Source organism: Homo sapiens, chromosome 10 (genome assembly GCF_000001405.40).
Source record: "Homo sapiens chromosome 10, GRCh38.p14 Primary Assembly".
Lineage (NCBI taxonomy): Eukaryota > Metazoa > Chordata > Mammalia > Primates > Hominidae > Homo > Homo sapiens.
The window spans coordinates 60205554-60232394 of record NC_000010.11 but is presented as its reverse complement, the minus strand read 5'-3'; the positions used below and the strand labels follow the sequence as shown (position 1 = coordinate 60232394).

The 26841-nt window shown below is 37.0% G+C and overlaps 1 protein-coding gene across 4 annotated transcripts in view; it reads left to right on the top strand.

The window, feature by feature from the left end:
• ANK3 (ankyrin 3) overlaps positions 1 to 26841 on the top strand; it is a 707231-nt gene that overhangs the window by 501134 nt on the left and 179256 nt on the right. For all 4 annotated transcript variants that reach the window (NM_001204403.2, NM_001204404.2, NM_001320874.2 and 1 more), the window contains 3 exons: positions 18885 to 18983; positions 24162 to 24359; positions 26505 to 26603. In NM_001204403.2, coding sequence (NP_001191332.1) covers positions 18885 to 18983; positions 24162 to 24359; positions 26505 to 26603 — 396 coding nt within the window. The remainder of the gene's footprint in view (positions 1 to 18884; positions 18984 to 24161; positions 24360 to 26504; positions 26604 to 26841) is intronic.

Sequence of the window (26841 nt, the reverse complement as noted above, 5' to 3'; positions counted from 1 at the left end):
TTGCCTGATTATCACATGGAGAAAAAGGAACATTTGTAAAGAGGAGGAATCTTTGCAAAGGGAAATGAGGGTTACCAAGACACGCAGAAAAGAGAAGCTTGAAGAGGTGCCCGGATATACAGATTTCAGTTGGCATATGGATTGGAAATTACCTTATTTCTCTCTCTGGTGATATAGTCAATCAACAGAACAGCAAAATGATTTGTCAGTCATTTTTCATCATTTGTCAAACACTTACATGTCCTATTTCGTTCAATGGGAGGAGAAAAGGATACATAGGAAGTTCAGGCCCCATCTTTAGAGGGCATAGAGGGTCACAGGGGAGGGCCAGGAGAAAAACATACAAATTCCTCTGATGAAAGTACCAAATATAGGAAATAATCTACATAGGCAAAGTTTGGTGTGCAACTTGGTTTCTGTGCCACTTTGCCTCCCTGTTCCGAAGGGCTGTCTTATTTTCGACAAAGATACAGATTCCTTTGTACCTCCCACTCAGTTTTGACTTGGATTTACATTCCTCCTGTATTATGTGAAGGAAAGACATGGAGAACCAGAGAACAGAAAAGCCTGACATTTTCTTCTGCAGTTGTCCTGAATGGAATGGGTTGGGGGAAGGGTGTCAGTTGGGCAGACTGAATTTCTGGCAGACTAAATGGGAGAAATTATAGTATATACCTGAAATATGTAAACTGTTTTGTGTTCTCTTCATCAAAATGTCCCTTCTCTCCTGCTGAAATGATGAAGTAGTGATTGGGTGTGTGGGTGAAAGGGAAGGAGCGGGCTAAAATGTCAGAAAGCCATGGGGGCAAGCCTAAAAATAGAAAGGAGAATTTGTCACAAAAACAAGTTCTAACTACCCAGTCCGGTAGCCCCTGAGAAAATAGATACCGTTATCTATCCATCTGCCTCCCACCAAGTACTTACTATTGTGGCAACCTTGCTTGCATTCAATAAATCTGATCTGGTACACACTTATCCCCCGTGTTTTAGAGGCAGGAAAGCATCACTGGATTTCACCTCAGAGGACAGCACTGTAAGGGACCTTGTTCCTATTGCTCTGTGCCCTGCCTGGGTGCTCACAGAATAGAGGATTCAGTTTAAAAGAAGATTCTTAGAGCTCTTTCATTCAAGGATGTAAACTTGAATTGTGTTCAGTGTAATTTAGGTAGGATCAGAGCAAGATATTACCAGCTGGAAAGGCAGATGAGTGAATTTAATTTCACCCTAGTGCCTGATCTGTAATCTTAAGTGTGACTAGCAAGTAGTGAAATTGTGACCTGAGAAAAGTTCACCCTTCTGAGTCATAGTTTTCCAGCCAGTACAGATAGAAAGTTGTTCCTGAAGATCTCACTCTCTCAGCTGGAAGGGCACTGGAAATTGTAACTTTAAGAATAATTAGTTATTGTAAAATTTAGGATGATTGCACATGAATCTTCTTAGAGGTGTTTAGCTAGGATATGATGAATTACAGACCCTTCAGGTTTCTTTTTTTTTTTTTTTTTAAGATGGAGTCTCGCTCTGTCAGTCGCCCAGTCTGGAGTGCAGTGGCGCAATCTCGGCTCACTGCAAGCTCCACCTCCTGGGTTCAAGCCATTCTCCTGCCTCAGCCTCCTGAGTAGCTGGGACTACAGGTGCCCGCCACCACGCCCGGCTAATTTTTGTATTTTTAGTAGAGATGGGGTTTCACCGTGTTAGCCAGGATGGTCTTGATCTCCTGACCTCGTGATCTGCCCATCTCAGCCTCTCAAAGTGCTGGGATTACAGGCGTGAGCCACCGCACCCAGCCCCCAAACCCTTCATGTTTCTATTTACCTCATTTCAGGAAAGTCTTTCCCATTTTCCCAGCTCCATAATGCTAATTAATATCAACTGGCTTGTTAACTCATGTTCCTGTTGATAGTAAGTATATAGAGAATCTCTGTCATAGTGGTGGGACATGTGCTGAGATATAAACACCTATCAAGGCATATTTGTCAATCTGGTCTATATGCAGCTTTCTAATTTTAAAATGATTTATGTAGTTCATTTTTTCAACAAGATCACAATGGCTTCGTTTCTTTATAGACTAAAATGTTTTGCTGAGAATGGCCCCTATTTCTTTCCACTGAATTCTTCCCTCTTTAAAGCTAGCGTGAGTATTTGGTACATGTTGAAGGAAGATACTTTGCAGTGGATGGTCTCTTGTCATTTTTAGTTTGCTCTGCATCAATTCACAGACCAATCAGAGACTCAATATAGACCCTAAATCCGAACCATTTTGAGACTTGAGTTCTCTATCTCTTTTCACTGACTCCTCTCCATCTAATAATAAAAGCAGCTATACTTGTATTTAGTGCTTCAGAGAAGATGCAGAATCCCCGGTAGTGTTGGTAATAACAATACTCTCATTGCCAGAATGTTACTCTAACTGTGCCCCTCCCAACTTCTAGCCTTTCTAGCGAGTTGCCACTGCCTGCATCCTCAGAGAAACCCATTACCACAGTATTATTTGCAAAGCTACACCTTAACTCTAAGATGCACGTGGTCATCTTAGTGTCTGCCACACTTAGCATACTTAGCACACTTCCTGGTGCATATTAAATGCCTAATAAGTGTTTGCTGAATATATTGAAATAAGATATACTTCTTAATATTACATTTGTCAAAACATCTTAATTTACTTGACTTTATACTGGTCCTATGGTAACGTAATTTTTCCACTGAAGTTAATGGCATCCGGTTTATGTACAAGAATAAAGAAGTATTTATGCTCAGGTAGATGAAGTGTTTTCAAGGCACTTCCAATCTGTCAATTGTTAAATTTTTACTGCCTGGGAAGGTGTCAGGGGACATTTGGATGTACTATAATTTCAGCCCATGCTTTCCCAGAAATGTAACTGATTCTGTTTCTCAGGTTAAATACTAAGAAAAAAGAATTATTGATACTGACTTTTGCTTTTGATTATATTTCAAGGGATGTGATTGTCCAAAGTTAAAAATAAATCCTTGAATAAAATATTAAATATTTCAAAGTCATAGAATAGTCTCTCTGAAAAAGAAATTCTAAAACAGTACTTCCTCCTTGAGTTCTAAAATAGATATGTTGACAAGAACATTAGAAATAGTGAAGAAGACCCTGGGTTTCTATATTAGTTGAAACTAGCCTGAAAATGTTTCTTCATGTCATATAAAAATATATCAATTTTTTCATTTTTATGTCAAAAAATTACAAGTTAATTGAAAATATTTATTTAGATTAAAAGAAGGACCAGTAATCATGAAATGCCACTAGCTTTCAAAACACGAGAGAATATCTTTGAAGGAAAGAATGTTTTTTACAGTTGCAAAGCATTCTGAGAACATGGAGGGAGCATCTTTTGTTTTATTTTTCTCCCTCTCCTAAAGTTTTTACACTACATTGTAAACCTCATTTCCCTTGCCAAATTAGAGATCTAAAAGTATTATGGCAAAAATCACAATTGTTGTTGCACCAACCTAATAAATGTCGTATGCCTGGTTCTGTTGAAGAGTCAACAAAATAGGCTCAGGACAGTTTTATTTTAGATAATTGCTATGTGGTTCCAAGTGCTAATGGTCAGAATGTTGTCTGCTTTTTCTCCTACTGTTTCTTAATGTATGTTGGTAATGCTCACATCTAATTTTTTTTTAAATAGCTCTACATCAGTTAGACACAAAATTACCCTATAGCTGTCAACTATAACCATCTTTAATTACCCTCCTTCCTCAAAGGAAAGATAAAGATAAAAGAAGTTATTAGTGTTTTGTAAATTATGAATACTAAATTGTTTCAAACATGTAACATCTTATAAGAAGCATATAAAAGCACCTTTGTATGTTTGAAATCTTTTTTTTTTTTTTTTTTGGAGACACAGTCTCACTCTGTTGCCCAGGCTGGAGTGTAGTGGCGCAATCTCAGCTCACTGCAACCTCCGTCTCCCAGGTTCAAGTGAGTCTCGTACCTGTCTCCTGAGTAGCTGGGATTACAGGCACACGCCACCTCGCCTAGCTAATTTTTGTATTTTTAATAGAGACGGGGTTTCACCATATTGGCCAGGCTGGTCTCGAACTCTTGACCTCGTGATCCGCCCACCTCGGCCTCCCAAAGTGCAGGATTACAGGCATGAGCCACTGCACCTGGCCAAAATCATATTTTATAGTAGGTTATTCAGTATCTACCAACTGGAAAGTCAAGAATTCTCTCATGTATTCATAGAAGAAATATTCGTAAGTGGTGCATGATAGAAAGAAATACAAACTATGATGGCGTAATATGCAGAGGTCACATATCCTATTTTTATTCAAATATATGAGAGTTCTGGCATTAAGTTATGATGGAATAGCATGCATTGGACTAAGCCTTCTGCTGGGAAAAGTCATCAGCTCTGGACAAAACCAAGCTGCTGTAAGTTCCAAATTATTTATAACATATCATACATAATACCCAGTATGTAATTTTAAAATTACTAAACAAAGTCAACTGGAAAATATGACCGACAGTCAAAAGAAAAGTTAGATAATAGAAACAAACCCACAGATGACTCCACTGTTGAAATTTGCTGAATTTAAAATAACTAAGATAAATATGTTAAGCTATAGGAGAAACGAGTATAATGCGGGGGAAAGAACCAGATGGAAATCCTAAGATTGAAAAACACAGTATCAGAAATATTTTAAAAATCATTACATGGGATAAATAACAGATTGAATACAAAGGAAGAAAAAAATTGGAGGACTTGAACACAAGTCATAGAAATCATCCATACTAAAGCACAGAAAGAAAAAAGATTAAAAATAAAATACACTGCTATGTCAGTAACCTGTGGAATAATAGCAAGTCGACTAAATCTATACAATGTAGTCCAACAGGCAAAGGAGAAAGAGAATGGGGCATAAAATAAGTTTATATTTACTTCCAAATTTGATCATAAACTGCAGCACTCAAATCAAGGAATCTTAGCCTACCCCAAAGAGGATAAATACAAAGAAAACCACACAGAGTCATATCACACAAAGAGTCAAAAAATCAAAAAGAAAAAAATTTAAGTAGCCAGAGAAAAAGACATATCATGAATGGGAAAGACAATTATAAGAATGTTATCTGACTTCTCATCAGAAACACTGAAGGTCAGAAAATGATGGGCCACCTTTAAAGTTCTGAATGAAAAATATCTAGCAATCTACTTACATAGATTGATATAAATATCTAGTAAAAAAGGTATTTATATCTACTAAAAATTATATTTACATAATAAAAGCAAAACAAAGACTGTTTCATACAAGCGAAAGCTGACATAACTTTGTTACCATCAGGCCCAGACGAACTAAAATACTGAAGAAATTTCTTCCATCTAAGGGAAATGATACCAAAAAGAAAACTGGATCTACATAAAGGAAAGAACAGCTAGGAGTAGGAAATATGTGGATACAATAAAATATTATTCTTCTTAAGTTCTTTAAAAGTCAATTGTTGAAGCAAAATATCAATCTATTGTGAGGTCTATGATATGTAATAGTATGTAGAAATAAAATATATGCTATAGCACAAAAGATAAAACTAACAGTGTAAATATAATTATAATATGGCAGAATTCTTGTTATACATAAAGTGGTATATTAATTCAGTATATATGTAATATTAATATTACTTTATAATATACTATTTATATAATGAATACTATGTATTATATATACTATATAATATAGTATATTATGTTATACTATATTATACTATAATTTATTATGATATATTATCTATACTATATATAATATATAGTGACTTTTGCTTTTGATTATATATAGTATATATACATAGTATATATACATATACTATGTATATATACTATAGTATATATACTATGTATATATACTATAGTATATATACTATGTATATATACTATAGTATATGTATATATATAGTATATATACTATGTATATATACTATATTTTATAGTATGTTATATATTATATGTTGTATAGTATGTTATATATGTTATACTATATTATACTATAATTTATTCTATAATTTACTATATTATATAGTATTACATATACTATATAATATAGTATATATACATAGTATATATAGTATTACATATACTATATAATATAGCATATATACATAGTATATATAGTATTACATATACTATATAATATAGTATATATACATAGTATATATAGTATTACATATACTATATAATATAGTATATATACATAGTATATATAGTATTACATATATAATACTATATATTACCACATATAGTATATAATATATAATATATATTACAGTAAATACTATTTAGATATATACTATATCCTCTATATTATATATAATATATACTATATACACTCTCTATTATATATAATATATATGATATACAATTATCTTATTACATTATAGGAATTACAATTTGTAATATTATAATATTCACACTAGTAAGTTAAAGATACACATTTTAATTTATAAAACAACTATCCCCCCAAAAAAAATTAACTAAAAAAATCAGAAGACAGCCAATGATATATATAATGTTTCAATGATTAGTATACTAAATAATTCCAGCACAAAAGGAGACAAGCAACGAGGGACAATAAACACAAAGAACAGAGTGGAAAACTACAATACAAATAACATAAGGGTGTGTTCTAGTCTCAGAATGAAGGCTGTAGTTTTCCAAGTAGAGAGGACACAAAAGGATTTTACCTTATTTTCATTTAAACATATAGGCGGTATGGCAGTAGAACAAGGAAGCTAATTAATGTATTTTCCCTCCTATATATAAAAGGCAGAAATGAACTCTTAATCTTAAATAGAACATTGACTGCTTATATTTTTTGAAGAGGTTGCTTGGCATAGTAGAAGGAACCCAGTCCTTCCAAGGGAGGCAATCCTGAATGTAAATTCTAATTCTATCTATTTACTCTATGTACTTGCCATGTGACCTTGAGTAGGTATATGAATCCCCTGGAGAAGTTTTCTCATCTATAAATGTAGCTACTGATGCTTTTCTCATAGAATTGCTGCAAAGATTAAATAAGATCACAATTATAATGTGCCTATATCATAGAGGACATTCAAAAAATTTTATTTCACCTCTTAGGCTATCTCGATAACTGCCTAACACAAAAAAAATGAGGACACAGTCCAAATTTTTGGTGAAAATGCCAATATGGAATAGCTTTGCTGGCTGGGTGCGGTGGCTCATGCCTGTAATCCTAGCACTTTTGGAAGCTGACGTGAGAGGATTGCTTGAGGCCAGGAGTTTGAGACCAGCCTGGCCAACTTGGTGAAACCCCATCTCTACAAAAAATGTAAAAATAACTGGAAATGGTGGGGCATGCCTGTAATCCCAGCTACTTGGGAGGCTGATGCATGAGAGTTGCTTGAACCCAGAAGGCAGAGGTGACAGTGAGCTGAGATTGTGCCATTACACTCCAGCCTGGGTGACAACAAGACTTTGTCTCAAAAAAAAAGAAAAAAAAAAGAAAGAAAAAGAAAAAAAGAAAAGAAAAGAGCTTAGCTATTAGACTGTAAGTGATGCCCTTTAGTTTATCTTTCACTATCATCATAGCTCTCTTCTCTTGAAGGACTCTCTACATTTTTTTCATTGTTTTCAGTTTTTAATTAAAGATTATATCCTGTTCTACAGCCATGATCTATCTGCAGAGTTCTCTCTGCTTGAATTCCTTTTCTTTCTCTAGAGTGAGGAGTTTGTATTTATTTATTTATTTTGCTGGTGAAAAAGAAAAGAAAGAGTATCCTAAAGGATACAAATCAAAATAAATATGTCTCTTCTTGAAAATATTTCCCAAACCACGAATTTGTGTCACTTCAGTGACACTGAGCAAATTTGACCTGCTAAAGACACATTCTGGTTTCATAGTCCTAGGTGTGATGCCTTAACATCCTGCTTCATGCTTTTCAGAAAAATCAGACCGGAAAGTCTTTTGACCTTCGCATGTACAAGGATTTGCTCTTAGGCTAACATGAGAGCATTCTGTCCGGCGAGTAACGTGCAGTTCCCCTCCTCACTAATAAGATTACTGTCACTAAAATGAAATATGAGATCTGGACTAGCCAGTTTGTGTTGCTTTAGAATTCTGCCCAAGGGAAACTTGTTCATTATGTGAGTGCTTTAAAAATCAAGGGAATTGGAAAATATTACTAACCCCATGCAATTTCATTTCCCTTCCGTAATGTTACTATGGCAACTCAGCATCCCTCTCATTCTCTCCTGTCCAACTGCATATGTTGCCTTTCTTGAGGCACCCCCTCCCTCAATCCCCCGAAATTGCCTTTGTCTAGCATTTTTCAACTGGAGATCAACACTATTCTATGCAGTTGAAAAACTGCTTTTTGGTCTCCAGCTCATTCTAAGTGACTTTGTTCATTAATTATACATTTCTAGGGGTTGGAGGCAAGTAAGAATCCTTATTCCGCTTCAAAAAAAAAAAAGCGTGGCTCTAATTTTAGGGAAATGAATATGCCAGTTCTCTGCTACATTGCAAAGCACAGTATCAACCATAGCTCTTTTATTACGCTTATTAGTATTCTGAGTAGAAAAAGGAAATCTTATTTAGAACAAATTCTGAAAGCTAAGAGACTTAGTCACATCCTTAAATCAAATCCCAATTTACAAGTCACTTATTCTATCGAGAATTTTACTTTTCTGGAAAAATAAGGTATTTTAATAGTGCTACTGAAGTAGACAAAATGAGTCTACTCTTAAACAAAAAGGATAACAAGGAAAATAATTTTAAACAACTAACTAGAAAATATTTTTTTTCACTAGCCTGAAAACACATTCATTCACTCACTCCATTCATTCATTTACTCAGTAATTTTTATTAGGCAACTTTCATGGACATAGTACTAAGTTACCTCCTCTGTAAGATTCATTTATCCCTTAAGCTGGTAATCTTGTCCTCAGAGATAAACTAGTGTTAAATTAAAAAATTATTCATGATACTTGTAAGAAAACAGTAAAGCTGACTTTATCCAAAGGGGGCTACTACAAAGGAATTTTATAGTAGTAAAGAGATCTAGCTCAACTCTGAATACAGCAAGGAAAGGTGGGAATTTATAGCCAAGGAGTAGGGTTGAGGTCAGTAAATAGAAAATTACTAAGAGGAAATGTCAAGGGTAGGGGCACTTCTGGCTAAACTGACTTGACAAGATTATTGCCAAAGGCAGGTCAGATTGATAAGAGTGGCAGGGTGGGAGATAAGGAATTTGATCTAATAGAAAGGGTTGGGATTTTCATTAAACTGATCCAGTAGGAGTCTTGCTAAAACTGAACTAAGCAGACACTAACATATGGAAAGCCAAAAGTCTAGATGAGAAGAGAATTCAGAGAAGCTTGACTAGAGTTAAGTCAAGGAAGAGCATCTTTGTCACTGGAAATATTCATGTGTGCCCACAGGTAAAGAAAATACTAGGTAAAAAGTTACAGGTCCCCCAAAAGAGGTATAGAAAATAAGACAGGAGTCTGGAAGGTAGAAAGATTCCATTTAATTTGTGAAAAGATTTCAAAGAAATGCTCTGCTCTAAGATAGTAAGGATCCTGTAGGAAGTGGGAAAGGAACTCTCAGGTACATGAAATGGCGTGGGCAAGACAGTAAAACAACGGAGGGACTCTTATCAGAAGCTGCAGAGAGTTTGTTAATTGCAGTATAAGTTAAGGGAATCAGGAAAGGCCAAGTTGGACCAAGTATAGCAGGAACTGATTTTAGACGACTTTGAATGCTAACTTGAAGAATTTAGACTTGACTGAGGAGTAACTGTGAATGACAGTTAGTGAAGATCATTTTGAACAGAATGGCATCCTAAATCAGAACCGTGTGTCAGGAAAGTGAGTGATAGGCCACACCAGCTTCAAAGCCAAAGAAATGAGTTCAAAATTTATTTTTTTAACCAAAAAGTGGAGTGAAGTGGAACAAATGCCTGCTAGTTTTCCTCCTCTTTTTTTTTTTTTTAACTGAATTAAGTGTGAATCATTAAATGGCAGGTACTTTTCAGTCCCACTGTGGATCAGCTGGTCTTGCCCATCTTCATGACTGCAAGAACTGTGATGCTAATTAAAGATCTTACATTCACCCTAGGCACTCGTTTTCCACTGACCTGTCAATGTCCCAGCAGCTGGGCCAGCGCTGCCTGTGCAGCCAGGCAGTCGCATCATTGATATCTTGTGCAGCTTCCTGATGAGGCATCCCTCCTGCAGCAATTTTGGCTACTTGAAGAGCTACATGCCTTTGAAAAGAGCTAGACTGAATCTGTAGAAGATCCAAAGGAGACTGACACTTGAAGTCAGTGTTCAGAATACTACAAGGAAAACTACAGTTGAAAGAGTTGTGCTTCAGGTAGCTCTTTGCAGTTCAGCTAGAACTGATGAGTTGTACCTTGGGGAAACAGCTGACTTTGTCATGGAAGCAAGGTGATTAAAGGAACAATGGCTAAAGAATATAATACTTCACAGCTCTTCCACTGGTGAAATGTCACCTTTCCCTACTGAGTCTTTAGATGCCACATGTTGTTAGTAAACAAACATCAGAGATCAGAGGTAGCAGCTTCTGAATGTAGCTAAGGGAAGGCTAAGAGTGGCTGCAAGTGTGAGCACAGGGACTTTGCCTTAGTAACCCCTCTGAAGACATGCCTTGATTGTCTTGTAGAGCCAGCACTCATAGTCCAAGCCTCGTTCTAAATTTGGTGCGTGCAGCCTTGAATGAGTAATTTCACTTCTTTGAACCTTGGAATCTCTATTTATCAAATCAATATTATACTCTTATAGCACTAATCATGAGGATATAATAATATGATGTCTTGGATTTGCTTCAAAATAATACAAGAAAAGGGTTTGACTTTTGGTCAGTATATAGATGAGTCATGACTGACCATGGGGTGACAATTGTGGAAGCTGAGTTAGGTACCCAGAGGTTCGTTATAATATTCTGTCTATGTTAATCTGCAATATGTCTGACATTTTTTATAATTAAAACTTCTTTTGAAAAGACAAAAATCAGGCCAGGCACGATGGCTCACGCCTGTAATCCCAGCACTTTGGGAGACTGAGGTGGGAGGATCACCTGAGGTCAGGAAGTCGAGACCAGCCTGGCCAACATGGTGAAACTCAGTCTCTACTAAAAATACAAAAATTAGCCAGGCGTGGTGGCAGGCGCCTGTAATCCCAGCTGCTCAGGAGGCTGAAGCAAGAGAATCGCTTGAACCCAGAAGGCGGAGGTTGCAGTGAGCTGAGATCACACTATTGCTCTCCACCCTGAGCAATAAAGCGAGACTCCATCTCAAAAAAAAAAAAAGGCAAAATCAACAAAAAATATGTATCTGTAAGAAGAAACAGTATACCTCAAAGGATTAAGGAGTTGATGGATGAGATAGATTTTGCTCTTAGCCAAACACTTTGCATTCAGTATGTAGCATTTTGCTTTGTGGAAGATAATTTTCAAGGATGAATGAGTGCAGCTAAAATAGTTATTTTTCTGTGTGAGCACAGTTTGAAATTCTTGATGAAAAGAGTCAGACACTGGTAAGATATTTGAATAGATTTATTCTGAGCCAAATATCAGTGACTGGTGGCCCGTGATGTAGCCCTTAGGAGATCCTGAGAACCTGTGCCCAAGGTGGTTCGGGTACAGCTTGGTTGTATACATTTTAGGGAGACACAAGACATCAGTCAACACATGCAAGATGTACATTGCTTCCATCTGGAAAGGCAGGACAATGGAAGCAGAGGGTCTTCCAAGTCATCAATGGATTCAAAGATTTTCTGATTGAAAGAGTTATTCAGGTTGAAAGAGTTATTATCAATACAAAGGAATATCTAAGTTATGATAAGGGGTTGTGGGGACCAAGGTTTTATCATGCAGTTGAACCTCCCAGGCTTCAGAGAGAATAGATTGTAAATGTTTCTTATCAGATTTAAAGAGTCTGTTCTATCAGTAATTCCGAAAAGGAGGAGGGCAGAATGAGGCATGCCTGGCTTCCCTTACCCATCATGACCTGAAGTAGTTTTGCAGGTTAATTTTGGAATGCCCTTGGCTGAGAGGAGGGGTCCATTCAGATGGTTCGGGGCCTTAGACATTTATTTTTGGTTTACAAACATCTCTATGCATATTTTGTCATTTTTTACTTAGAATCTGCAGAAGAGAAAATGAAACAATTTTGACCTTTTAGTTCATAAAAAAAAATCACTGTACTGCAGTCTGTATGAAATGTTTTTTGTGTAGGTGGTGGAAAGTGGATGTGATTATTGTATATTATTTCTCCATCAGATGTCTTCAGGTTTTACATTATGAAGTAGACATTTGGACATTATTTTTTGTATGTTTCCAGATTTTATTTTAATAGTAAAATGCTGTTTTCACTTGAAAGGCTGCTTTACTTTGGTTTATAAAAGCAAATGTTTTAAATCAACATAAAAGGCAGAAGATATAAACGTGCTCCAAAGAATGTTCAAATTAGGCCATGTACTATTTGCAATTCAAATGTTATTTTTAAATAACATTAATACTATTGAGATTTGGCTAGTAGTTTAGAAATAGGGTTGTATCTTGTTGCTTATACATTAGAATAATTAGGCTTACTTTCAATATCTGCTCACACAATCCAGAAAGTTACATGAACGTATTGAATCAAATTTTGTTGTATTTTTTAATGTGATTATCCTTAGGGTAGGTATTAAGTACCAGTCTCAGGGATCTTCAAGTTGGGGAACTCTTAAACCAAGAACACTTGTGAAAACTTCTCCAGCGGGATTGGGGCCACTTAGTTTTAAGTGAATAACTCTCTACTTCCTCAACTTCCTGCAGAGTCTCCCTTCCCACTGATCCTTTAACACACATTCCTTCTGCCCTAGTACTAAGAAAAGCCTAGCTCTCTCTCACGCACATTGCCCAAGGGTGCAAAAACCCCTGAGGTGGCGGGGGCAAGCAGAAAAATTCAAAATATTGGTATTCTGCTGATAACTGCCTGATTCTAATGATCTGATAAACCCCTTGCTGCCCACAAAAATGAAAGACCTAATAAAGTTGTCCTGTGACGGATCATTGAGAAGAATTTTGGGTGAAAGATCATTAAGTATGGAGGATCAGATGGACAGATTGACAGAAGTAGGCTTCAGAAGATGGGTAATAAAAAACTACACTGAGCTAAAGGAGCATGTTCTAAACCAATACAAAGAAGCTAAGAACCTTGATAAAAGGTTAGAGGAATTGCTAACTAGAATAACCTGTTGTGAGAGGAACATAAATGACCTCATGGAGCTGAAAAACACAGCGTGAGAACTTCATGAAGCATATACAAGTATCAATAGCTAAATCAACCAAGCAGAAGAAAGGATATCAGAATTTGAAGACTACCTTGCTGAAATAAGGCATGCAGACAAGACTAGAGTAAAAGGAATGAAAAGGAATGAACAAAGCCTCCAAGAAATATGGGACTTCATAAAAAGACTGGACCTACTACTAGAATATGAGAAGGAGATGGGGAGAATGGAAACAAGCTGGAAAACACAGTTCAGGATATTATCCAGGAGAACTTACCCGACCTAGCAAAATAGGCCAAGATGCAAATTCAGGAAATACAGAGAACACCATTAAGATACTCCATGATAAGATCAACCCCGAGACACATAATAATCAGACTCTCCAAGGTCTAAATGAAGGAAAAACTGTTAAGGGCAGCCAGAGAAAAGGGCCAGGTAACCTACAAAGGGAAGCCCATCAGACTAACAGCGGACCTCTCAGCAGAAACTCTACAAGCCAAGAGATTGAGGGCCAATATTCAACATTCATAAGGAAAAGAATTTTCAACCCGGAATTTCATATCCAGCTAAAAACTAAGCTTCATAAGTGAAGGAGAAGTAAAATCCTTTACAGACAAGCAAATGCTGAGGGATTCCATTACCACCAGGCCTGCCTTACAACAGCTCTTGAAGGAAGTACTAAATATGGAAAGGAAAAACCAGTACCAGCCACTGCAAAGACATGACAAAATATAAAGACTAATGAAACTATGAGGAAACAGAATCAACTAATGTGCAAAATAACCAAATAGCAGCATGATGACAGGATCAAATTCACATATAACAATACTAACCTTAACTATAAATGGGCGAAAGGCCACAGTTAAAAGACATAGACTGGCAAATTGGGTAAAGAGTCAAGACCCATCAGTGTGCTCTATTCAGGAAGCCCATCTCATGTGCAAAGACACACATAGGCTCAAAATAAAGGGATGGAGAAAAATTTACCAAGCAAATGGAAAGCAAAAAAAAAAAAAAAAAAAAGAAAGAAAAAGAAAAAGCAGGGGTTGCAATCCTAGTCTCTGACAAAACAGACTTTAAATCAACAAAGGTCCAAAAAGAAAAAGAAGGGTATTACATAATGGTAAAGGGAGCAATTCAACAAGAAGAGCTAACTATTCTAAATATATAGGCACCCAATAAAAGATCGCTCAGATTCATAAAACAAGTTCTTTGAGACCTATAAAGAGACTAAACTCCCACACCATAATAGTGGGAGACTTTAACATCCCATTCTCAGTATTAGACAGATCTATGAGACAGAAAATTAACAAGGATAGTCAGGATTTGAATTCAGCTCTGGATAAAGTGGACCTAGTAGACGTCTACAGAACTTTCTACCCCAAATCAACAGAATACACATTCTTCTCTGTGCCACATGGCACTTGTTCGAAAATCGATCATATGATTGGAAGTAAAACACTCCTCGGCAAATGCAAAAGAACTGAAATCAACAGTCTCTCAGACCACAGTGCAATCAAATTAGAACTCAGGATTAAGAAACTCGCTGAAAACTACACAATTACATGGAAATTGAACAACCTGCTCCTGAATGACTCCTGGGTAAACATTATGACATTAAGGCAGAAATCAAGAAGTTCTTTGAAACCAATGAGAACAGAGAGACGATGTACCAGAATCTCTAGGAGGCAACTAAAGCAGTGCTAAGAGGGAATTTTATAGCACTAAATGCCCACATCAGAAAGCTTGAAAGATCTCAGATCGACACCCTAATATCACAATTAAAAGAGCTAGAGAGACAAGAACAAATGAATCCAAAAGCTAGCAGAAGACAAGAAATAACTAAGAGAAGAATTAAAGGAGATAAAGACGTGAAAACCCCCCAAAAAATCAATGAACCCAGGCACTGTTTTTTTGAAAAAATTAACAATATGGATAGACCACTAGCTAAACTAATAAAGAAGAAAAGAGAGAAGAATCAAATAGACAATAAAAAATGACAAAGGGGATATCACCACTGACCTCACAGAAATACAAACTACTATCAGCAAATACTATAAACACCTTTATGGAAATAAACTGGAAAATCTAGAAAAAATGGTTAAATTCCTGGACACGTATACCCTCACAAGATTAACCAGGAAGATATTGAATCCCTGAATAGACCAATAACGAGTTCTGAAATTGGGGCAGTAATTAATAGCCTACCAACCAAAAAAAGCCCAGGCCCCAGATGGATTTACAGCTGAATTCTATCAGAAATACAAAGAGGAGCTAGTACCATTCCTTCTGAAACTCTTCCAAACAATTAAAAAGGAGGGACTCCTCCCTAACTCATTTTATGAAGCCAGCATCATCCTGATACCAAAACCAGGAAGAGACACAACAAAAAAAGAAAACTTCAGACCAGTATCCCTGATGAACATCGATGAGAAAATCCTCAGTAAAATACTGGCAAACCGAAACCAGCAGCACATCAAAAAACTTACCTACCACGAGTAAATCGGCTTCATCCCTGGGATGCAAGGCTGGTTCAACTTAAGCAAATCAGTAAACATAATCCATCACATAAACAGAACCAAAGACAAAAACCACATGATTATCTCAATGGATGCAGAAAAAGCCCTTGATAAAATTCAACATCCCTTCATGTTAAAAACTCTCAACAAACTAGGGATTGATGGAACATATCTCAAAATGATAAGAGCTATTTATGACAAACCCACAACTAATATCATTATTGAATGGGCATAAGCTGGAAGCATTCCCTTTGAAAACTGGTACAAACAAGGATGCCCTGTCTCACCACTCCTATTTGACATAATGTTGGAAGTTCAGACCAGAGCAATCAGTCAAGGGAAAGAAATAGCATATTCAAATAGGAAGAGAGGAAGTCAAATTATCTCTGTTTGCAGATGACATGATTTTATATTTAAAAAACTCCACCATCTCAGCCCAAAAACTCCTTAAACTGATAAGTGCCAAATCATGAATGAACTCCCATTCACAATCACTACAAAGAGAATAAAATACGTAGGTATACAGCCAACAAGGGATGTGAAGGACCTCTGCAAGGAGAACTACAAACCACTGCTCAAGGATGTAAGAGAGGATGCAAACAAATGAAGAAACATTCCATCTTCATGGATAGAAAGAATTAATATCGTGAAAATGGCCATACTGCCCAAAATAATTTATTGATTCAATGCTATTCCCATCAAACTACCATTGACATTCTTCACAGAATTAGAAAAAAAGTATTTTAAATGTCATATGGAATCAAAGAAGACCCCATATAGCCAAGACAATCCTAAGCAAAAAGAACAAAGCTGGAGGCATCATGCTACCTTACTTCAAACTACACTACAAGGCTACAGTAACCAAAACAGCCTGGTACTGGTACCAAAACAGACATATAGACCAATGGAGCAGAACGGAGACCTCAGAAATCTGCAATCATCTGATCTTCAACAAACCTGACAAAAGCAAGCAATGGGGAAAGGATATACTATTCAGTAAATGGTGCTGGGAAAACCGGCTAGACATATGCAGAAAACTGAAATTGGACCCCTTCCTTACATCTAATACAAAAATTAGCTTAAGGTGGATTAAAGACTTAAAAGTAAAACCCAAAACCATAAAAACCCTAGAAGAAAACCTAGGCAATAGCATTCAGCACGTAGGCATGGGCAAAGATTTCATGACAAAAACGCCAAAAGCAATGGCAACAAAAGCTAAATTTGACAAATGAGATCTAATTAAACTAAAGAGCTTCTGCACAGCAAAAGAAACTATCATTAGAGTGAACAGGCAACCTACAGGATAGGAGAAAATTTTTGCAGTCTACCCATTTGACAAAGGGCTAGTATCCAGAATCTACAAAGAACTTAAACAAATTTACAAGAAAAAAACAACCCCATCAAAAAGCAGGCAAAGAATATGAACAGACACTTCTCAAAAGAAGACATTTATGCGGCCAAGAAGCATATGAAAAAAAGTTCAACATCAGTGATCATCAGAGAAATGCAAATCAAAACCACAGTGAGATACTATCTCACACCAGGCAGAATGGCAATTATTAAAATGTCAGGAAACAATAGATGCTGGGGAGGCTGTGAAGAAATAGGAATACTTTTACACTGTTGGTAGGAATGTAAATTAGTTCAATCATTGTGGAACACAGTATGACAATTCCTCAAGAATCTAGAACCAGAAATACCATTTGACCCAGCAATCCCATTACTGGGTATATACCCAAAGGAATATAAATCATTCTACTATAAAGACATATGCACACGTATGTTTATTGCAGCACTATTTACAATAGCAAAGACATGAAACCAACCCAAATGCCCATCAACAATAGACTGGAGAAAGGAAATGTGGTACATTTACATCATGGAATACTATGCAGCCATAAAAGAGAATGAGATCATGTCCTTCGCCGGGACATGGATGAAGCCGGAAGCCATCATCCTCAGCAAACAAACACGGGAACAGAAAACCAAATACCTCATGTTCTCACTCATAAGTGGGAGATGAACAATGAGAACACATGGACATAGAGAGAGGAACAACACACACCAGGGCCTGTTGGGGGCTGGGGGGTGAGGGGAGGGAACTTAGAGGATGGGTCAATAGGTACAGCAAACCACCATGGCACACATGTACCTGTGTAACAAACCTACACGTTCTGCACATGTATCCCATTTTTTTCTTTTAGCAGAAATTTTTCAAAAAGATTTTAAAGACAAAAAAAGATCATTAAGTAATTTTTCACATGGAATTCAGAGAATTCGTAACTCTACTACAACAGTCTACATGAACAAGGTTTCTCAGCACTAATATGTATAAAAGCAAAAATCAGGGCTAATATTGATGCTGAACCCTGTCTTATTCTAGCAATAACTAATCTTCATTAGCAGATACATAAACTAGTCGTGAAAAAAGCATATCTAATTAAAAGAGAAATTTTTAATACATTGTTTTTGTGGAATGGTCACAAAACTTTTTATATATTTTTGCTGTTTTGATTGGTTATATTCAAATAATTATAATAATCCAGTCAGGTGATTTGTTTTTTACACTTAGAGGAATGTATTGTCAGGAAATATTTCAACCTTTCTTAAATTTAAACTTATATAATTTCATGGCAGAGAAATATGTAGTAATCAATAAAAAACCTTCAAGCATAAAATTACATTAAGATAAAATTATGTAGGGGAAATGGAATGGAAAAAGAACCAATGTAGAATTTCTATTACAAATTTCTATTTTAGAGTTTATTCATGTGTTTTTGTTAATGGTGAGCATCAAATTACTTGTAGTACTTAGATTTTATTGGCTATTCAAAAGACTAGTGGAAAAGTTATATATTTAAACGTCAATATTCAAACTTGTGGGAAATTACATACTTTGCAGCTACTTAAACTTATGAAAAAATGTAGTTTTCAACCTAAAATAAGGAATTATTTTATGAAATAAATGAGCAAATGTTTGAAGCCCGCTTGACCACAGCATGTTGGGTGCCATGCTGGATCTTGAAGAAGTACACTGCACTCATAGAATTTATTGTCAAATTTAATTGGTGATGTTTCCTTTGTTCAACAGGATGGTCTGACACCACTGCACTGTGGAGCAAGGAGTGGCCACGAGCAGGTGGTAGAAATGTTGCTTGATCGAGCTGCCCCCATTCTTTCAAAAACCAAGGTAATTTCTTTTCAGGTTTCTGGACATTGGACTGTATTTATTTTGATGGTTATATGATCTAGCCTTTTGAATCACATAGAAAATGACATTTTCAATGTAGCAGTCAGAGTAGTTATGTTCACCAGATCTTTATAGAACCTCAGAATAAGTTTGGGCTAATTAAGATTTTATGTAGAATGTGCTATACCACAAAGTTGTTTGTGTGTGTGTGGTTTTTGTTGTGTTTCAGGAATGCTTACTGCTTGATTTTACTCTGTGAAATTTTCATAGCTCAGAAATAATTGCTTGTCAGGTTAAGAAAGACTAAAGTTCTACACTCTCTAACGTTTGGGTGCCGGCTATCTTCAGCACCTCAGCTTACTTCTTGAGAGTTCATAGACTTTTAAGGAGGTCAAGGATATCACTTAGCTGATAAAGACTGGAAACTTTGGAAAGACTGCACCTTGATTGGGCTTTTGGGAATGTTGACATAGCTGAAAGGAACACATGATGATTGCCTGAAAAAAATTAATGGTTGACTCTCTTTTAGACTTTTTTTTAATAGTAAAACCATTTGACATCATTTGAAGAGGAGAATATTTGCAAATAAATTTTGAGACATGTAAACCACCTCATTGTCACTACTACTTTTATTAATTAAACCAGTGATTTTTTTGGAAATGATACTAAGCTTTACTAAGAGCTTTAATCTCTAAACATTATCAAAGCAACAAAAGCACATATTATTTCTGTCTTCACTCTGGTCAGTGTTTCCTCAACAATATTAGGAAGGCTAGACAGGGTTGAGATGGTCTGGACAATTCCATCACTCATTTAAAACGTAGGGTTTAGATTGGTGAGCTGTTGAGGGTATTGTCTAACAGAATTAAACAGCCATGATGTTTTCATTGTATATGATGACATCTTGGCCTTTTGAGTGTTTCTTATCTTGATGATTCTATTTGTTCTTTTCCTTTTACATACCCCATATCTATTTTCTTTCCCCCTCCACTGCTATCTTCTAAGCCACATTATCATCTCTCACCTAACCACTGTAGTAGCTTCCTGTTGGTCCCCCATTTCCCTTTTTGCTCCTTTACAAATCAGTTCCCACTTTGCAGTCAGAGTGGCCATATAAACTGTCATCCAAATCATGTCAGCCTCCTGCTTAAAAACCCTCCCATTAATCCCCATTGTTCTCTTTCAAATTGATTTTCATTTTCTCAGAGCAGTAAGGACCAATGTTAAAAATCAGAGAGTTGCTCATATTTTTTCTCCTATTCATCTCATTGCTTTGGATTTTTTCTGAGAAATCTTCTTAATTTTTTTCTTCCAATCTTTTAATTTTCAAGAACATTTTCTTGTTATCAGATAGCTTCTTTTCTTAAAGTATCCTGTTCTTGTTTAATGGGTACATTTTTTTCTGTTACCTTTCTGAGAACATTTGAGATAACTTTTCTTTTAATTTAGTTTTTCTGTTTCCCAAATGTCCCTAATTCCTCAGATTTCCTTTTTTTCCTTTTTTTTTTTTTTTTTTTTTGGCTCTGTATTTTACAATGAAGGCTTCCCACAATGGCTGTACCTAATTGTGTCAGGCACAAACATGTGAGTGGCAGCTCTAAAGAGTGTAGGCAGTGCTGATCAGGTGGCAGTGGTTAAGAGGGGCTCTTTAATGTCACAATTAGGTTCCCTTTACCTTAGGCGGTATAGTTTTTTGAGAGACAAATCCACCAACCTTTGCAGTGCACACATGTGTGAATACATTCTGAGTAGGGGAAAGAGGCTGCCAGTCTTGTGCTTTATGCATACTTTAATCATAATAATGATAAGCAATATTTTACATAGTGATTACTGCTTATCAGGCTCTATGTTCTTTACACATATTAACTCATTTAATCCTCGTTAAATGAGATACTGGTATTACTGTTATTCCCTTTTCATAGATGAGGAAACTGAAACCCAAAGAGGTAAAGTAGCTTTCTCAAAATATCCCAATTAGTGGCAGAACAAGGATTTGAACCCAAGCAGCCCAACTCCAGAGACCACATCCTTAACGCCTCCATTCTCCTTCCTTTTTCTGTGATCACCTATTCTTGGTCCAGATCCTCGTCACTGCCCTCTGTTCTGCCTGGGCCCTTGAGTCTGAATCTCTCTAGTTCACCTTCTCCAGACACTAATTCTGGTGTCCTTCAGGCTAGCAGGAGGCAGTTACCTGACTTTGCTGAGTTGGGAAGGGCCTGGAGACCTGACGGCTCCATACACAGTCTTTGAACCAATCTTATTTGCAGCCCCAAGTCTCACTTTATCTTCTGAGGTACTACGCTTCCACAGCCTTTGCCTTTTTGGGATTTGAGAGGCAAATCAGCTTGTCTTTTTATTCCCAGCAGTGTGCTGGATCCTGATTGTATCGGCTCATGAGCTGGTTGTGTACATCTCTTTCCAATTCCCCATTCAGTAACATCAGATGGACGGCTTGAAATGGGTTATTGTGGGGGGATTTACAGCATGGAAATTGGGTAGTGCTACACACTGGGGCTTTTCTTTTTCCAGGAGTTGGGTGTTAAAACATTTGTCAGCACAGCACTGATTCTACTGCTTCAGACACTTAGGTTTCAGCCTCTCTCTTCAGCTGGATGAATTACCACACTCAAATCCTCTTTTCATATTCTGAAGTTTGGAGACAACCCTCATCTGGTTTTTTATTTCTTCCCCATTGTGTGTGTGGGAATGGAAAAGGAAACACACATGTGTGCCCTTCTAGATTTTACCCTTTAAATCCATTACTGCTTTTTGGTGGAGTTTTGGGAGAGGAAGGATACATATATCTATTACACCTGCTGTGTTTGATCAGAAGTCTCCCTCTGCACTGAGGATAGACTTCTTAACAGATTCTGACCACCTCTCTTCCTCATCTCCTCCGGTTTTGCTCCTTCCTTGCCATCTTTTAGCTAACCAGCCTTCTTTTACTTCCTAGAATACGCCTTTGTTCTCATTTCCTGTTTGCTTGGTTTGAGTTCCCTCAGCTTGTTCCAGATCTCTGTGGTCCCCGTATATTCTTCAACTCAAATGTCTTCCTCATAGACAGGCGTTTTCTCACGATTTACCCCTCCCATCTTCACCACCTCCTGCCAGTGCCATCTGGCCATATTTTATTTTCTTTAGAGCTTTTAACACCATCTTGAAATTATATGCTTGTTTACTTGCTTGCTGTCTGGTTCTCTTCAATAGAATGAAAGCAAGAACTTTTCCTTGTTGAGTGCAATACCCACAAGCACCTATTTTCATGCGCAGAACACAGTAGGGCTTCAGTAAATATTTGTTGAATGACTATTAAGTGAATGAGTACATTCCTAGCCTTAAGGCCATCTGACCCGTTCTTCAAGAATTTCATCTTACTGAGCTAAGAAAGCCCATCACATTGGTTCCATATTTTCAGGCACCATATGTAATACCACCTCTTTCCATAGGGCAGATGATCTTTTCTTTACTGTTTTCTTGTCCTTCTCCAATTATCTTTAAGTTTCCCATCCACACAATCATTGTGTTTTTGCATTGCTAGAGAATTTTTTTTTATTGACACTGCCTCCCATTTTTACTCTCCACTATTACTTGTTCTCTCAGATTTTGTGGGATTTTTTTGTTTGTTCACTTGTTTACTTCATGTTTTCCTCTAAGACTGTATCAAAACATAAAGCAAAAGAATATTTTGGCAGGAATAAAGCAGTCCATATGCTCGTGGGTAGCAGTATCTCAAATGGGAAATGTTCCTACCTTTTCCTGCACCTTAATTTCTACGGTTTAAAATATTTGAGGGAAATTTTTTAGGCAGAAATATCCTGATGGGCTGACAGTGTACGAGGCCTTTAAATTGACCTAGATATTTGCTGAGCTCTTTCTGTATATGCAAAGCTCTCTTCTGGGCAATGAAAAAATAATAACCATGTACCTCTTGCCTTCACGGAACACAAATAGTTGAAATATATGTCAGAGAGTGGATAATGCCGTTAGAATGGTTAACAAGGAGCTTATACTACTTTTTCTTATCTTGAACTCCTTCTTTGTGTCATCCATTGATAAATTCAGAGCAAATAACTTGGCTCAGAGGATTCAGAAACCTCTGGTTCCTTGGTACATATTTGATCTGTCATTGTCAAAATTCATTGATGACAATTTTTTTAGAAACTGAATTTGCTGTCAAATTACTTTTCCCTAATATATGTTAAATTATGTTACAATAATTGATAGAGCCTCTCTTGATAATTGAATTCTCTAGGAATTTCCCAGGCTCCCCCACTTCGCCATCATAGTTAAAAGAAAGGACTGACATCTTCATAGCTTGTTTTGCCTTCATTAGGAAACATATTGAGTGCCAGTGTCATTCTAGGTTTTATTTACCTTTGACCCTATTTATTTATTCTCTCTGCTCTTTAAATGAATTTTCAACTCGCTCCTACTGCACGTGATTAACTGTGTTATTGAACCCAGTTGATTTAAACTAACAAGTCAAGCATTAGTTAGTGGCTTTGTCAATGCCTTGCCTTTCCTCATCATAGACACATGGGGGCACCAGATTGATAGAAAAGGGAAAAGTTTTCCTTTCTTCTTTGATGTGAGATGAAATGCGTTACATTCAGACCTTTTTTAAAGTCAAATCAGTATAGTCTTCAATATTGGGTGTTAGTAATCTCTAAGGACAAAATTAATACCAGTCCAATGAATACCACTGTTCTTACCTTCATTTTTTCTTTTAGTCTTAAATATTAAGAATTCCTATCTGGCCAAATTACAGTGGCTCATACCTATAATCCCAGTGCTTTGAAAAGCTAAGGCAGGAGGATCGCTTCAGGCCAGGAGTTTGAGACCAGCTGAGCAACAGAGTGAAACCCCATCTCTATTTAAAAGAAAAAGAAAAGTAAAATTCATATGCCTCTAAGTTATGACCCATGCTGCAATTCTCACTTCTATTAAATTGGGAAAAGACATTATCCTTGACAACTTGTTATTGACTGGCATAAGCAGTTGGGAGGACCAGTTTTAAAAATAGCTGTAGTTCAAAATAGTTGTCAAAAGCTTTTACAAATAGAAGGTATTTTCATGTGAAGAACTGGAGTTTTTATCTGTTTATATTTGCACTTTGTGTTCTGCACATTTGTGTTTAAAAGGTAAAAGAATGAACTCTGATTTCTTTATGTGTTCCAGAATGGATTATCTCCATTGCACATGGCCACACAAGGGGATCATTTAAACTGCGTCCAGCTTCTCCTCCAGCATAATGTACCCGTGGATGATGTCACCAATGACTACCTGACTGCCCTACACGTGGCTGCCCACTGTGGCCATTACAAAGTTGCCAAGGTTCTCTTGGATAAGAAAGCTAACCCCAATGCCAAAGCCCTGGTGAGTGGCTCAACCAGCGAGTCCAGCCTCAGTTGTCTTGCTCACAACGTGCTGCCTCTGTATGTGAAGGGAATGCTTTGAGGAGGTTAAAATAGAAGGTGCTAGTTAAAGTGTACTTCTTGTCAATTTTTTCAAATATCCTTCAGGAAAGTCTACAAAATTTTCTATTTCTGACATGAGAAAGGCTGAGGGAGCCAAACTGTTAATGTTTTTATGGTCACATAAGTGATTCCCGTATGAACCCAAAGACTATACAATTATAAAAAGACTAAGGTGGCCAACGTCGTCTTATTGTGGATAAACTTATAATTCTGTGAATTAAAAGTTTATTCTGAGATCTGAAAACAAGGCAAAGTTATCAAAAAACTCTATTTGAAACATAAGTGGTCTAGGAATTTGTGAGCTAAAATTTTATATATCTTAACCTTGTAAGTTAATGAAATATTGCCTGTAATCTTCTGTTTCCGTTTGCCAATCAGAATTTTGGTCCAGTTTATAGGCTTCACTTTAATTTGTTCTTTTAACCTTTAGCTATGCTGTACTTTGGTTTTCTCAGCAAGATGGTACTTGTTGTCTTTGCAAAAATAAATGGTCCCAAATTAGTAAGCTGTCTATTTCAGAATAAGTACCCAAGTTTAGGAAAAAATAAGTCACCCAATTTTAGGGAAAACATGTGAGTTTACTAGCAATTTTGAGGTAAAGGTTGTCATCATCCAATTGACCCTTTTAGGAAGGGTTTTTGCCCCTTTCCAAAGAGTGCGGTCATCCTGTCTGGATAGATCCGTACCACCTCTTGTACTCTGTGGGCTCTAAAATTCAGAGTGGACAGGAAAGAATGACGAAAGAGAAACTCTCCAGACCCCAGACACCTCCTTGCCACTATAATTCTAAAACCTTTTACCAAAGCAGCATTTCAAGATCAGTCTGTTGACCCACCCAGTCTATCAAATGTGTCTGAATTCTGAGAAGGGAGGAAAGGAAATTAGCAGTCATGACTCTTTTTTCCATACAAGAAAAAAATAAGTCCTAAAACAGGGCGTGGGCTCCCACTCTCATTTTCCTCTGACTCTGAAGATTTCACAACATATGGAGGTTGTAGCCAGTCATCCTGGGATGGACTGTGGCCAAATGGTCTGAGAAGCCTCGGTGAAAGCACCTGCAGTGACTTTGACCTAAGCTTTTACAGTGGACTCTGGTATTTTATAGTTCTCCACTGGCAGCTGAAATACGTGCCACAGTCTCAATCGGCAGGCAGGACAACTTAGGACATAATTTATTAAAAAGCAGATTCTTTTATTAGATTAAATAGTAAACAAAATGATTCAAATAATGGGTTATTTACATTTCTGCATGCTTGGAGTAAACACCTACTTGAAGCATAAAGCTAGAGAAGAAATCAAAACGTTTTAGAGCTGGTCTTGTAGTTGTCCTAAAACACAGCAAAGAGAACAGAATAAACCTTGGTGAAGTGGAGCTGTGAGGACAAATGTTGGGGCCAGACGTTTTCAGTCTGTATTTGAAATGAGGTAGAGGAGGGACATATTATTATTATTTATTATTTTGAAACAGAGTTTCGCTCTTGTTGCCCAGGCTGGAGTGCAATGGCACAATCTCGGCTCACTGCAACCTCCGCCTCCTGGGTTCAAGTGATTCTCCTGCCTCAGCCTCCCAAGTAGCTGGGATTACAGGTGCACGCCACTATGCCTGCCTAATTTTTGTATTTTTAGTAGAGATGGGGTTTCACCGTGTTGGCCAGGTTGGTCTCGAACTCCTGACCTCAGGTGATCCACCCACCTCAGCCTCCCAAAGTGCTGGGATTACACATGTGAGCCACCACACCCAGCCTGAGACATATTTGGAAGAGTGAATTCCAAAATAAAATAATGAAATGAATGATCATTTTTACCTCAGCTAACCAGGAGAGTGTAATAAAAATTCACTTCCTGTTCACAATTATCAGGGTACCTTGGGTTCCCAGGGCAGCTGGACTACTTCTAGAATAGAATCTACATGCTGCTTAACCCTGGTACTTTCTGTTCATTTCAATTTACCACACATCATTTTAGCAAAACTATTTACTGCACACAGTGAAACTGGATTTTGATGGAATGTAGTCAAGCAGGTATATGTATTTGTCCCTTGCAGAATGGCTTTACCCCTCTTCATATTGCCTGCAAGAAGAATCGAATTAAAGTAATGGAACTCCTTCTGAAACACGGTGCATCCATCCAAGCTGTAACCGAGGTGAGAAGAGTTAAGATTTCTGGGAGTCCTGAGATACTGAGAGTATAGCCTTAGCAGCCAGAGCCCCAGGGCCATCTCCAGGGACCAGCTAGTTTGTTTGCATATCATGGCCATAGACTGCATTCTGAACTCTTTAGGAAGAGGGCTGCCAGTCCCTAGGAGAAGCAGACAAACATGTTGGTGGGTGAGTTTGATGCAAATGTATCACCATGTCAAGAAATGTAACCTAAAACACATG